General features: G+C 42.8%; 1 protein-coding gene across 14 annotated transcripts in view; it reads right to left on the reverse strand.

Moving 5' to 3' along the window:
* SLC26A5 (solute carrier family 26 member 5) overlaps nucleotides 1–14,606 on the reverse strand; it is a 93,478-nt gene that overhangs the window by 51,088 nt on the left and 27,784 nt on the right. For 13 of the 14 annotated variants that reach the window (NR_135802.2, NR_135801.2, NR_120443.1 and 10 more), the window contains 4 exons: nucleotides 9,185–9,295; nucleotides 7,603–7,769; nucleotides 6,568–6,732; nucleotides 4,034–4,186 (listed from right to left, as the gene is read on the reverse strand). Coding sequence is in view for 8 of the 14 variants with exons in the window: in NM_206885.3 (NP_996768.1) it covers nucleotides 4,034–4,186; nucleotides 6,568–6,732; nucleotides 7,603–7,769; nucleotides 9,185–9,295 (596 nt within the window). In the remaining 6 variants the exon portion in view is untranslated. The remainder of the gene's footprint in view (nucleotides 1–4,033; nucleotides 4,187–6,567; nucleotides 6,733–7,602; nucleotides 7,770–9,184; nucleotides 9,296–14,606) is intronic. The other variant, NR_120442.1, reaches the window with a different exon arrangement.

A 14,606-nucleotide genomic window follows, 5' to 3' on the forward strand; every position in this document is an offset into this window, starting at 1 on the left:
ACTCTTTATCTAATTTGCCAATCTGTGTCTTTCAGTTGGGGCATTTAGCCCTCTTACATTTAAGGTTAATATTGTTATGCGTGGGCCAGGTGCGGTGGCTCACGCCTGTAATCCCAGCACTTTGGGAGGCTAAGGCAGGCAGATCACCTGAGGTCAGGAGTTCGAGACCAGCCTGGCCAACATGGTGAAACCCAGTCTCTGCTAAAAATACAAAAACTAGCTGGGCGTGGTGGCAGGCACCTGTAATCCCAGCTACTCAGGAGGCTGAAGCAGGAGAATTGCTTGAACCCGGGAAGCGGAAGTTGCAGTGAACCGAGATCGCACCATTGCACTCCAGCCTGGGGGACAAGAGCAAGACTTTGTCTCAAAAAAAAAAAATATTGTTATGTGTGAATTTGATCCTGTCATTATGATGCTAGCTGGTTATTTTGCCCATTAGTTGATGCAGTTTCTTCACAGTATCGATGCTTTTTACATTTTCATTTGTTTTTGCAGTGGCTGGTACCGGGTTTTCCTTTCCACATTTAGTGCTTTCTCAGGAGCTCTTGTAAGGCAGGCCTGGTGGTGACAAAATCTCTCAGCATTTGCTTGTCTGTAAAGGATTTCATTTATCCTTTGCTTATGAAGCTTAGTTTGGCTGGATGTGAAATTCTGGTTTGAAAATTTTCTTTAAGAATGTTGAATATTGGCTCCCACTGTCTTCTGGCTTGTAGGGTGTCTGCAGATAGATCCGCTATTAGTCTGATGGGGTTCCCTTTGTGGGTAACCCGACCTTTCTCTCTGGCTGCCCTTAACATTTTTTCCTTCATTTCAACCTTGGTGAATCTGATGATTATGTGTCTTGGGGTTGCTCTTCTTGAGGAGTATCTTTGTGGTGTTCTCTGTATTTCCTGAATTTGACTGTTGGCCTGTCTTGCTAGGTTGTGGAAGTTCTCCTGGATAATGTCCTGAAGAGTGTTTTCCAACTTGGTTCCATTCTCCCCGTCACTTTCAGGTACACCAGTCAAACGTAGGTTTGGTCTTTTCACACAGTCCCATATTTCCTGGAGGCTTTGTTCATTCCTTTTCATTCTTTTTTTTTCCTCTAATCTTGTCTTTACACTATATTTCATTAAGTTGATCTTCAATCTCTGATACCCTTTCTTCTGTTTGATTTGACTATTTATACTTGTGTATGCTTCATGAAATTCTTGTGCTGTGTTTTTCAGCTCCATCAAGTCATTTATGTTCTTCTCTAAACTGGTTATTCTAGTTAGCAATTCCTCTAACCTTTTTTCAAGGTTCTTAGCTTCCTTGCATTGGGTTAGAATATGTTCCTTTAGCTCGGAGGAGTTTGTTATTACCCACCTTCTGAAGCTTACTTCTGTCCATTCGTCAAACTCATTCTCCATCCACTTTTGTTCCCTTGCTGGTGAAGAGTTGTGATCCTTTGAAGGAGAAGAGGTGTTCTGGCTTTTGGAATTTTCAGCTTTTTGCATTGGTTTTTCCTCATCTTCATGGATTTATCTACCTTTGGTCTTTGCTCTTGGTGACCTTCGGATGGGGTTTTTATGTTGACGTCCTTTCTGTTGATGTTGATGCTATTCCTTTCTGTTTGTTAGTTTTCCTTCTAACAGTCAGGCCCCTCTGCTACAGGTGTGCTGGAGTTTGCTGACGTCCATTCCAGACCCTGTTTGCCTGGGTATCACCAGCGAAGGCTGCAGAACAGCAATGATTGCTACCTGTTCCTTCCTCCAGAAGCTTTGTCCCAGAGGGGCACCCGCCATATGCCAGCCAGAGATCCCCTGGATGAGGTGTCTTTGGCCCCTACTGGGAGGTGTCTCCCAGTCAGGAGTTACGGGGGTCCCACTTGAGAAGGCAGTCTGACCCTTAGCAGAGCTCGAATGCTGTGCTAGGAGATCTGGTGCTCTCTTCAGAGCTGGCAGACCGGAATGTTTAAGTTTGCTGAAGCTGCGCCCACAGCTGCCCCTTCCCCCAGGTTCTCTGTCCCAGGGAGATGGGAGTTTTATCTATAAGCCCCTGATTGTGGCTGCTGCCTTTCTTTCAGAGATGCCCTGCCCAGAGAGGAGGAATCTAGAGAAGCAGTCTGGCTACAGCAGCTTTGCTGAGCTGCGGTGGAATCCACCCAGTTGGACCTTCCAGGTGGCTTTGTTTACACTGTGAGGGGAAAACCGCCTACTGAAGCCTCAGTAATGGCAGATGCCCCTCCCCCCACCAAGCTCAAGCGTCCCAGGTTGACTTCAGACTGCTGTGGTGGCAGTGAGAATTTCAAGCCAATGGAGCTTAGCTTTCTGGGCTCTGCAGGGGTGGGATCCGCTGAGCTAGACCACTTGGCTCCCTGCCTTTAGCCCCCTTTCCAAGGGAGTGAATGGCTCTGTCTCACTGGTGTTCCAGGCACCACTGGGGTATGAAAAAAACTCCTGCAGCTAGCTCAGTGTCTGCCCAAATAGCTGCCCAGTTTTGTGCTTGAAATCCAAGGGAATCTTGGTGGTGTAGGCACCCAGGGGAGTCTCCTAGTCTGTGGGTTGTGAAGACCATGAGAAAAGCATAGTGTCTGGGCCAGAATGCACTGTTCCTCACAGCACAGTACCTCACAGCTTCCCTTGGCTAAGGGAGGGAATTCCCTGACCCCTTGCGCTTCCTGGGTGAAGTGATGCCCCACCCTGGTTCAGCTTGCCCTCTGTGGGCTGCATCCATTGTCTAACCATGCCCAATGAGGTGAGCCGGATTCCTCAGGTGGAAATGCAGAAATCACCCACCTTCTGTGTTGATCTCGAAGGGAGCTGCAGACCAGAGCTGTTCCTATTCGGCCATCTTGCCAGCCCTTTACCCCCAAATGTACTCTTCATTTCTTTTGAGACAAAATCTTGCTTTGTCACCCAGGCTGGAGTGCAGAGGTGTGATCTTGGCTCACTGCAACCTCTGCCTCCCAGGTTCAAGCAATTCTCATGCCTCAGTCTCCCAAGTAGCTGGGATTACAGGTGCATTTCACCACATCTAATTTTTTGTATTTTTAGTAGAGACGGGGTTTCACCATGTTAGCCAGGCTGGCCTCGAACTCCTGGCCTCAAGTGATCTGCCCGCCTTGGCCTCCCAAAGTGCTAGGATTACAGATGTGGAGTCACCACACCTAGACGACTCTTCATTTCTTATCCTTGCCGCTCCCACACACGTGCAAACAAGCCCCAGGGTGCTAAGGGCACTCTGTGGGACACTTTGGATATTAAAAGGTCCCCAGTGAAACAGTGACATCTATTGGGCACTGTGCAAACTTCTAGTTGGCAATAGTTCACAGTTTGAACACTGTGTTCCTTTCAATAATGCCATATCTTTGCAAAGCTGGGTGTTCAGTGGTTGCTGTGATGAAAAAGCAGGAACCACATACATATTCATGTGAACAGGAAATGAAGGTAGCATTGTCCTTTTTGATTCAGAGGTTTGAGGATCTAAGCAGTTCCCATCAGGCATATGCATTCCATGATTACATAATTGTGGTTACTTAAGAACATAATAAAATATTTTTATTCCAATTTATGTGCATATTTTTATAAACAACTACGAAGTTGTTAAACATAAATATTATTAAAGTGGACCTAACTACTTAATAAGTGGAACTGTGAGGTATTTCTTTTGGCTCAGGAGTGTCAAGGGATGGAGAAAGTTTGGGAACCTTTGCTTTGTCAAAATGGAAATGGATTTCTTTTTTAGGTTATTAAAGTAATATGTACTCATTACAAAACAATTAGCCAATAAAAATTTGAGGAGAAAATCCTCCATAATCCCATCACTTGTAATTAATGTTAAAATTTTCATGCAGAGTCTTACATATAATTTAAAAAATCATCTGTGTCTATGTTTTAAGGCTTTTTCTTTTTACTTTCTTGTCAATGAATTTGTCAAATTTGACAAATTGTAACCTTCTTTTGGCAGAATTGAGAGCAAAAAATTCCTTTCATCCACTTCAAAATCCCTCACAGAAATAAGTAAATGCAGTTGTAGAAGCCGAGTAGGTCACTGACCGAAGGTGACTTACCGCAAAGAACTCTAAAGGAATAGGCGCCGGCAATTTCTCTTTAAATCTCTCATTAAACTCCTTGCCACCCAACAGCAAACCAAAAACCATCAGCCCGACGCCTAGGGAACACACGTTGAGGTTTTTAACATTCTGCAACACAGCAACTGTACTCTGTAACACAGTGAATGCTGGATGTTTACATCAAGAAATCGCCCCTGAGAGAGACAGAGACACTCTAGCGCACTAATTCACACCAGCCATTCCGTTATTGGATATTTCTAGTGGAAAGTTCCAAGGCTGAAATCTCTCTTTGTAGCTTCTACCAATTAGGAGGCATTTTTACCCAGTCTACAACTTTATAGTTGTTACTCTTTTCTTTTTATAGTTGTTATTTATTTATTTATTTATTTTTGAGACACAGTCTTGCTCTGTTGCCCAGGCTGCAGTGCAGTGGCATGATCTTGGCTCACTGCAACCTCTGCCTCCCAGGTTCAAGCAATTCTCCTGCCTCAGCCTCCTGAGTAGCTGGGATTACAGGTGCCTGCCGCCACACCCAGCTAATTTTTGTATTTTTAGTAGACACGGAGTTTCACCATGTTGGTCAGGCTGGTCTCGAACTCCTGACCTCAAGTCATCTGCCTGCCTCGGCCTCCCAAAGTTCTGGGATTACAGGTGTGAGCCACTGTGCCCAGCCTTATAGTTATTCTTATCAAACAATTATTCTTATCATATGCTGATGTCTCAATGTAATATTATAAAATCCAGAAAAGGAACCCTGAAGCTGAGTCCTGAGCAATTGGAAAGAATTAAGGGTTGATAGCAAAGTACTCCAAAGGTAAATACATTGAAAAGCTTTTAGGAGCTCAAAGAGAGAGAAATTATTGTTAGCAGGACTTTGAAGTCAAGAGTGCTGATGTTTGGGAAAGGAACCTAGGAGAACTAGAGAACAAATCCACTTAATTATATCCTAGGGTTACCAACTGGGCACCTCAAATATAGTCAGTTCTCATTTGAAACCCAATAAAGTAGACTTCCCACTCAGCCCACAACATGCACCCTTTCCTATCGATGCCTAGAGTACTCAGTATGTTTTATTTCCTTTGTGACAAGGCATTTCGACAAGTCTCAGAGTAAGAAGTATGATAATAGCTATTATGGGAAACTAAGAATTTTGTTATTTAGAGAATATTCCTAAAGCCTGATTCCATTTTTATCAGTCAGGGACTCAACTTAAATGTCAAAGTGCCTTTCCTAGACCCCTAATCTAAAGGTCTCCCTATTTAACTTTCAGAGCAGCTGGTACTTCTTCTTCATAGCACTCAACACAAATTGTAATTGACTACACATGTATGCGATTAATGGTTTACAATCTTCCCACTGTACTGAAAGCTCCAGAGGGCAAGGCCTGTATCTTCTTAGCTCACAGCTGCATCTTGGCACCTAGCAGTGTCTGGCACATAAATACCTACAAAGGCAACAGGCCTCTCTTTTCAAGGATAGCTTTAACAGCATCTCAGAGGTTTTGATATGTAGTACTTCTACTGTCAATTAATTCTAATTATTTCCTAATTCCCTCTTTATTCATGGGTCATTTAGAAATGTTTTTTGGTTTCTAAATATATGGGAGTTTTAAAGCTATGTTTAGTTTTTGATTTTTTTATTATATTGCACTGTGTGAAAAAACATTGAATTTTTAGAATTTGTGATCAGTTTCACATGATCGATTTCAACATGATCAGTTATTACCATTGTTCCTTAAGTGCTTGCAAATAATTTATATTTTCTCTGTGTTTGGTAAGGGGTCTATATAATTAAAAGATTCATGTTAGTTAAATCTTTTATAGCCTTACTTATTTTTTGCCAGTTTGAACTAGCAGGTTTTGTTTTTTTTTTGAGACAGAGTCTTGCTCTGTCGCTCAGGCTGGAGTGCAGTGATGGGATCTCGGGTCACTACAAGCTCCACCTCCCGGGTTCACGCCATTCTCCTGTCTCAGCCTCCTGAGTAGCTGGGATCACAGGTGCCCGCCACCACACCTGGCTAATTTTTTTCTATTTTTAGTAGAGACGGGGTTTCACTTGTTAGCCAGGATAGTCTCGATCTCCTGACCTCGTGATCCGCCCATCTAGCCCTTTCAAAGTGCTGGGATTACAGGCATAAGCCACCACGCCCGGCCTTAATTAGCAGTTTTTGAGAGAGAAATGTTCTACCTTCATGCCTTTAAATTATTTGTTAGTTTCCAAAAAGATCATGATTTAGTTGTAAGAAAAAGCTCTCTCTTTACCTAGAGTGATGGTGCAGTCACCAAATAAAGACCTAGCAAAAAATTCCTTGTGAAGTAGGCAGTATCACATATTAATAACAGAGATTTTAAGGTTTAGTTCTCTTTGTAACACTCTTTTCAGAAAACCTTAGAATAAATGAATTTTTCCCTTTTTATGGAAATTACTGGAGAAAAAGAAAAATGAGTCTTGAAAGTAAAAAGAGATACAGAAGAGAAGGTTGGGGGGAATAAAGAGAAAAGTACCAGAACGTCAGGTAGTTTCTTACTTACATACACCACGGAAAAGATTCCACTGTACCGCTTTGTTTTAACTCCAAACAGATATTTTAACATGGAGGTGAAGACATGCACAGCTGCTGCGGTGGTAAACCCACGGACCAGAGGCTCTGTGAGATATATGGCCACAAATCCAAACCTACAGACACCTAGGCAAAACTATTTTTTTTTAATGACAAAGAAACAAATGAATCACATGATAGGTCAGGAAGTTATGACCCACAGCAAATATACAAGTTCTTTCTTGACCATTTTCTTTTTTTTTTGAGATGGAGTCTTGCTCTGTCACCCAGGCAGTGGCACAGTCTCAGCTCACTGCAACCTCTGCCTCCCGGGTTCAAGCGATTCTCCTGCCTCAGCCTCCTGAGTAGCTGGGACTAAAGGTGTGTGCCACCATGTCCGGCTAATTTTTGTATTTTTAGTAGACACGGGGTTTCACTATGTTGCCCAGGGTGGTCTCGAACTCCTGACCTTGTGATTCGCCTGCCTCAGCCTCCCAAAGTGCTGGGATTAAAGGTGTGAGCCACCGCGCCCAGCCTCTGGACCATTTTCTAACACTGCAAACTTGTACCTCAAGTGGGTAAGTAGCTAGAAAATCAACCACTGGTTATACAGAAAACAATGGAAGGTCTGGAGTGGCTTGGTGCCCCACAGTGCGCTGACCACACTAATGCCTTCCCTGTCTCTCATTGAGCTGGGGGCATGCTTCATCATGTAGACTAAAGTGCATGATCATGATCACTGGCTGTTTCTTCCAAGCAGAGAGGAATGTCCTCTCCCAGCACTAACCAATCCTGCCGTGTCAAACTTGTCTTGCTTTTGGGATCTTTAAAACACCCACCTGAAGCTTGCTTGCTCGTCACTCATAGTTGTGAATATGGCATGCAGTTGGTCTGCAGTTACTCCCAGAGCTCTGGGGTTTTTCTGGCTGACCCCATCCACCGTGTAGTAAGACCAGCCAAGAGCACTCAGTAGATACTTGTTAGGTTAACAAACGAGACAGTCCATTTCCCCATCTTTGAGCCTTACCTGAATGATTCCTGAAAGTAAGGTCACAGACATGGCGACTTTCACTCTCAAGGCATCTCTGGCCTCTGTGCCATTGGTTGCATTTACTCCTCCTGGAATGACTATATCATCTGGTACTAATCGAACAGCTACACCACCAATCATCAGGCTAATAACAGCAAAAGGACCTGAAATAATGAAGCATGAAGATCCCTGTTCAGGGTTCAGAGTATCTGATATGGTTTTTGCCAGTACACCAAGAGACAAAGGTGAGGTCAAGAAATCATGCTTGAAGGAAGGCTACGCTCCCTTCTTTAGTGTCCTGCCCCTGGTGTATGAGCAACCGTGTGTGTGCGTGTGTGCGCATGCAGACTGTATTTTCCAAAAATAGACATAGCAATATCTTCCATCCACAGAGTCTTCTTGACATTTCCCCATCAAGAGGTGGAGTCTAATTTCTCTCTCCTTGAATCTGGCTTGGCTTTGACTTGTTAGTAATCAAAAGAATGCAGCAGAAGTGACGTTGTGTGACTTCTCAGGCTAGGTAATAAAAGGGCTGCAGTTTCCACCTTCTGCTGAAGCCCTAAGTCACCATGTGTAAGAAAGCTCCAACTAGGCCAAGTGGAGAATTCCTGGGACTGCATGGAGAAAGGAAGGCAGGGAAGAGGGAAGGGAGGGAGGAAAAAGGGAGAGAGGAAGAATTACCCAGACCAGCCCTTCCCAAGTCCTGAACTGCAGGCACTATGGAAGATACAAACATGATTGTTGTTGTAAAGCTGCTACATTTTGGGGGTATTTGTTACCAAACAGTAGATATCTGGAAAGTATGTGTGTGTTAGGTAGTAGCCTTATGCAGCACCAGAACTATTATGAAATCCATATGCCCCTGATAAACTGAAAATATGTACAATTCAGAGCCCAAAATATGACAAAAATGAAATACATGCATAGCGATTAGGAACTTGAAGTACTACCATTAGTATAAAAATAAAAACCAGAAGCTGGCAAATTACATTATGAAATCAAGCATTTATCTCATTTCACAGATTTCAACAATTGCCCTTTTACACAAGAAAATTGTCTTTTTTATTATCCCAAGATTATAAGAAAATTGTAAGTTCTAGAAATCTTGGGAGGAGTGTAGTTTTTTTTTTGTTTTTTTTTTTTTTGAGACAGAGTCTCGTTCTGTTGCCCAGGTTGGAGTGCAGTGGTGTGATCTCAGCTCACTGCAATCTCTGCCTCCCAGGTTGAAGCGATTCTCCTGCCTCAGCCTCCTGAGTAGCTGGGATTACAGTCACCCCTCACCAAGCCTGGCAAATTTTTGTATTTTTACAAAGAGATGGGGTTTCACTATGTTGGTCTGGCTGGTCTCGAACTACTGACCTCAGACGATCTGCCCGCCTCGGCCTCCCAGAGTGCTGGGATTACAGGGATGAGCCACCGCACCTGGCCGAGTGTAGGTTTTTAAAGCACCTATTGTGTATGCAGTAACAAAAGTTGTTATTAAGACAATTTTTAATAATGACCATGCTATTTCTTTGGCACATTGCAAGGTTGGAAATACACAAGGAAAGGTAATAGAATATCAAATGTAAGCTTTTACCTATGGATATGTGTCTGGAGGTTCCAAGAAAACAATACATGATAACAGGGTAAAATGAAGAGTACAGGCCAAATATTGGAGGCACAGCTGCCAGCATTGCAAAGGCTAAGCCTGTGGGATTAAAAACCAAACAGAAATGGGGGATCATTAGAAGACAGAGGTGTTACATGTGTTTTTCTCTTGGTTCTTTATTTCTGATGAACGAGTGAAGCCCATCTTAATTTAAGCTGCAACCTGCCCTACCCCAGTCCTGCACATCATCTTACCTTGGTGCTGATAGAGTCCAAGCTGAGAAACTTTGCATTGTCATCTCCTTTTTGCCAGTGGGTGATTTTTTTTTCTGCTTTATTCTTTCACAAATTAGATAAAAGCAGAAAAAAGTCTTATCTTAGTGGTTGTCATTGTAATTTGGTGTTGACTCACAAATGCGAGCTCGTTCTCCAATGGGGTGTTTTTGTGGGTTCTCTGGAGACCCCTTTGCAATAAGGGACTCTCAGTTACTATGCCCTAACCTATGTAATGCTCCCTCCTCCTGACTCTTAGATATCCCTCCTCCGACTCTTATCAGAAGGTACAGCCTTCCACGTTCTTTTGGCTGGTGTATGCTCATCCTGTAGGCAGTCTTCTTAGGCAGGTACCTATCAAATGGGCCAAGTCTCATTACCTTCCAGTTACTCAATGGGAAAGCTTGACATTTTACTCCCAAGAAACTTTGGAAGTGCAGGTCACACCCTCTAGGGGACTCTTTCCCTCACTCTGCGGTCCTAGGCAGTTCACATCATCCTTTAGACATTTTTTTTTAAATAGAATTTTTAGAGCAGTTTAGGTTCACAGCAAATTGAGCAAAAGATACAGAGGTTTTCCATACATTCCCTGCCCTTATGTATGCACAGCCTCCCCCACTATCAACATCCCCCACTATCAACATCCCCCACCAGAGTGGCACATCTGTTACAAGTGATGAACCTACATTGACCTATCACTATCACCCAAAGTCCATAGTTTACATGAGGTTTACTCTTGGTGTGGTACAGTCTATGCAAATGTACAATGACAGGTAGCCATCATGATAGTGTGATATAAAGTAGTTTCACTGCTCAGAAATTCTCTGTGCTCTATTCATACTTCCCTCCCCCCATCCCCTGGACACTAATGATATTTTTACTGTCTTTGAAGTTTTGCCCCCCCCTTTTTTTTTTTTTAAGACAGGGTCTTGCTCTGTCACCCAGGCTGGAGTACAGGGGCATGTTCATGGCTCAATGCAGCCACAACCTCCCGGGCTCAAGCAATCCTCCCACCTCAGCCTCCCTAGTAGTTGGGACTACAGGTGTGTACCATCACACCTGGCTAATTTTTGTAGAGACAGAGTTTCCCCATGTTTCCCAGGCTGGTCTTGAACTCCTAGGCTCAGGCGATCTGCCCACCTCAGCCTCCCAAAGTGCTGGGATTACAGGCATAAGTCACTGTGCCTGGCCAGTTTGGCCTTTTTTAGAATGTCATTCAGTTGGGATCATACAGTATTAAGCTACACCAGGCTGACTTCTTTCACTAAGTAATAAGCATTTAAGGTTCCTTCATGTCTTTTCATGGCTTGATAGCTCATTCCTTTTTAATATTGAATATTTCATTGTTTGGATGTACCACAGTTTATCCATTCATCTACTGAAGGCCATCTTGATTGCTTCCAAGGTTTGGCAATTATGAATAAAGCTGCTATAAACATCCATGTGCAGGTTCACTTGAAAGTTTTTTAAAAACTAGTTTTTAGAGCAGCTGGACTTTTTCATGCAAGAATTAGGCAGCAGTCTTCACAAACTCCAGGGGGTACTGTTCAGCACGCTGAGCAGCTTTCTTGTAGTCCTTTCTTACTTGACTACAGGTGGAGGGGAAATGGATAGGGTTTTAACCTCTCCCTGGAAAATTCTCATTCCAAATCAGTCTCCTCGTTCCCTCATATATTCTGTTAAAGTGACACACTCAAGAGGGCCTGGGTCATTCATTCATAGCTTGGGATAGATTGACTGGCATCCCTCTTCAGAATGTGTAGGCAATAAGCCCTTTTTATTCTCAGCTTTGGGGGCTCAGCCAAATTTCTGGGACAATTAGAAAACTCATTTAATGCACTGTTATGCTGTGGAGAAAACAGCTTTAGCAAAAGAAGAGTTGGGAAAGCATCCTAACTTCATGTATAATAACATGGTCACTCGAATGTTGTTAAAAAAATTTATTTCTAGCAAAGAAATGTATGCATACGATTTAAAAAGCCAAGCAGCAAAGGCTCTCTGGAAGAGCCAGCTCTTTTCTGCTCACCCCTCTTCCTCCAGGTTTTGCTCCTCGGAGCCAATCACTTCCAACTCGTTTAGCTGTTTTTCTCTATTTACCTCCATTTTCCTAAATCATCATTCTCAAAGGAGAGCGCTCCCCCACCCCCACTTCTGGCAGGAGACATTTGGGGATGTCTGGAGACATTTTTGATTATCATGATGTGGGTACCGGGTGGGAGTATTACTGGCATCTAGTGGGTGAAGGCCAGGGGTGCTGCTAAGTGCCCTTCACTGCACAAGACAGGCCCCCAACAACAGAGTAAATGGCATCAGGTTGAGAAAACTCGTTCTAAATATGTTTGTATCATGATTTCTCAGTTTATCAATTTTAGATGCAAACTTAATTTTCCATTGTGTTTACCTTTCAGCTTTTCATTATGTGACTTTTTTTCTTTCTAGTCTGAGATCCTCTATTTATCCCTGGTATTCTATTTTACTATGGTGTGCCTTGTTTTATTTTTCATTTATTCTGCTGGGTATTTAATGATTTCTCTCAGTCTGAAAACACATGTATTTCATTCCTGGGGATTACTCTTTGATCATTTCTTCCTTCTGTTTACTCTCTTCTTTCTTTCTGGAAGTCCTATTAGATGTATGATGGGACATCAGGCTTGATCCTCTGGTGTTCTTATGTTTTCTCTCTTACTGTCTTTTTCTTCTACTTCCAGGAGATTTCCTCTACTTTATCTTCCAACCCTGACTAAATATTTATTCCAGCTATCACATTTTTAATTTCTATGAGCTCTTTCTTGTTCTCTGAATGCTCTTTTCAAAATAGCATCCTGTTTTTGTTTCATAGATTCAATGTGTTTTTGTATCTCTTTTAGGATACTATAGTTTTAAAGTTTTTTATTTTGCCCTGTTATTTCTGTTCCTTATGAATTCTTTTTTGTGTGATTTGGTCTCTTTCTTGAAGCTTCATGTGTATTGGCTCTTCGTTTACTGATGGGCCTTATTGTGGGACAACTGGGTGGCCAGCCAGCATCTTCACTGGGGGACCCCCACTTGTCACTATAGGTCTTTTATAGGTCACCATCTGCTTTGGGCTATAAGTTTTTTTGCAGGCACTTTGAAGTAAACAAAGTAGAGAAGGGAACAGCCTTTGCTGGCTCACAGTTCAGTGTGCAGACTTTTAGTTAACCTTCTTGACATCTCTTGGTATTTTTATCCTACCATCCACTGCATCGTGTAAATGTGGGAGCCTGAGTGTATTGATGCTACTGATTGCAAAGACTTTGAACCAGTTCCCTTGCTTTTAGCCTTTTGCCTGACTTCCAGCTTTCACAATACTTGGAGCCTCCAATTTCCCAGTGTTTTGTAGTGTACGTACCTACATTTCAGCTTCCTCTACTCTAATATTTCAGCTGCCCCTTGTCCATCTGCTTGCCATATATATATTTTTCCTGTTCCACGTGTCTCCTCTCTCATTTTCTTCCTCCTTGCTAGTTTATACCATTTCCCCCTCTTTTATTGTCATTTTAGAGGGATTTTTAAGACAATTAGAGATAAGAGCATACTTTCACTCTGACATGCTTAACACAAAATCTTTTTGGTAATTTAAATTATTTACCAATCACAACAAATGTATTTACTTTCTCTTAGATCTCTATCTTTGCTACATTTTGTTTTTCATATTTATCTATCTTCATTAATAATGAGCAGAAAAATACCTTTCCAATGCAAATTTGATGGTGGGATGATCTGTGCCTCTCAGCAGTGTTCCACCTACTGAATTATTCCCTGATTTGAAATAATTTCTTCCTAGGCTGGGCACAGTGGCTCACCCCTGTAATCCCAGCACTTTGGGAGGCCGAGGCGGGTGGATCACAAGGTCAAGAGATCGAGACCATCCTGGCCAACATGGTGAAACCCTGTCTCTACTGAAAATACAAAAATTAGCTGGGCGTGGTGGCACGCACCTGTAGTCCCAGCTACTCAGGAGGCTGAGGCAGGAGAATTGCTTGAATCCGGGAGGCGGAGGTTGCAGTGAGCCGAGATCACGCCACTGCACTCCAGCTTGCCAATAGAGCGAGACTCTGTCTCAAAAAAAAAAAAAAAAAGAAAAAAAAATAGAAATAATTTATTGTTTCTGTAATAATATACACTCCTAGTTTTCCTTTCCAGATACTTTTCTATCTCTTCTGCTGGTTCCTCCTTCTGTATTTGGCCTTTAATGTTGGACACAGCTTGATCTTAGCTCCCTTCTTTTTTCATTCCACATTCTTTCCCTAGGTGCCGTGGTCTATTGCCATGGTTTAAATGCTTTCTATAGGTCTGATTCCACAGTTGATATCTCTAGCCCCTACCTCTCTTTTGGGCTCACCATATATTAAATACAAACATGAAATATCTACTTGTCTATCTCACAAGCATCTCAAATTTAACATAATCAAACTTACTCTTCAATCCTATTCCTGTCATCTTATTATTTTTATTTTTTGAGATGGAGTTTTGCTCTTGTCACCCAGGCTGGAGTGCAATGGCATGATCTCAGCTCACTGCAACCTCTGTCTCCCAGGTTCAAGCGATTCTCCTGCCTCAGCCTCCCGAGTAGCTGGGACTACAGGCATGTGCCACTATGCCTGGCTTATTTTGTATTTTTAGTAGATATGGGTTTCACCATGTTGGTCAGTCTTGAACCCCTGACCTCAGGTTATCCACCCACCTTGGCCTTCCAGTGTTGGGATTACAGGTGTGAGCCACCACACCCAGCCCTGTCATCTTTATTATGTCTGCAATTGGCACCTCCATCCCTCAGGTGGTTGAAACAGCAACCTGGAAGTCATTCTTGACCATCCCTCCTCTTCACCATCCCCACACATCCAACCCATCAGCCTTAAAGTTGTTGTTGACACACCCTCCTCCTTCTTTCTAAATTAATCCAACAGCCAGTTTTGCTGATCTCACCTACAAAATGTATCATATGTCTTTCCAAAGTCTTTCCATTCTTACAGCCACCATTCTAGTTCAAGATGGAAGAAAGTCAGCTGGTTGAAAATAAGTTTGCAGAATGACTGTGAGAATTCAACTAGGCAGAATCCTGAGGAGTTCTTTGAGTGTGAGCTTGCGTGGTTGTCAGCAGTCATTCCTGCAGCTCC

The sequence above is a fragment of the Homo sapiens genome, chromosome 7, assembly GCF_000001405.40.
Source record: "Homo sapiens chromosome 7, GRCh38.p14 Primary Assembly".
Classification (NCBI taxonomy): domain Eukaryota; kingdom Metazoa; phylum Chordata; class Mammalia; order Primates; family Hominidae; genus Homo; species Homo sapiens.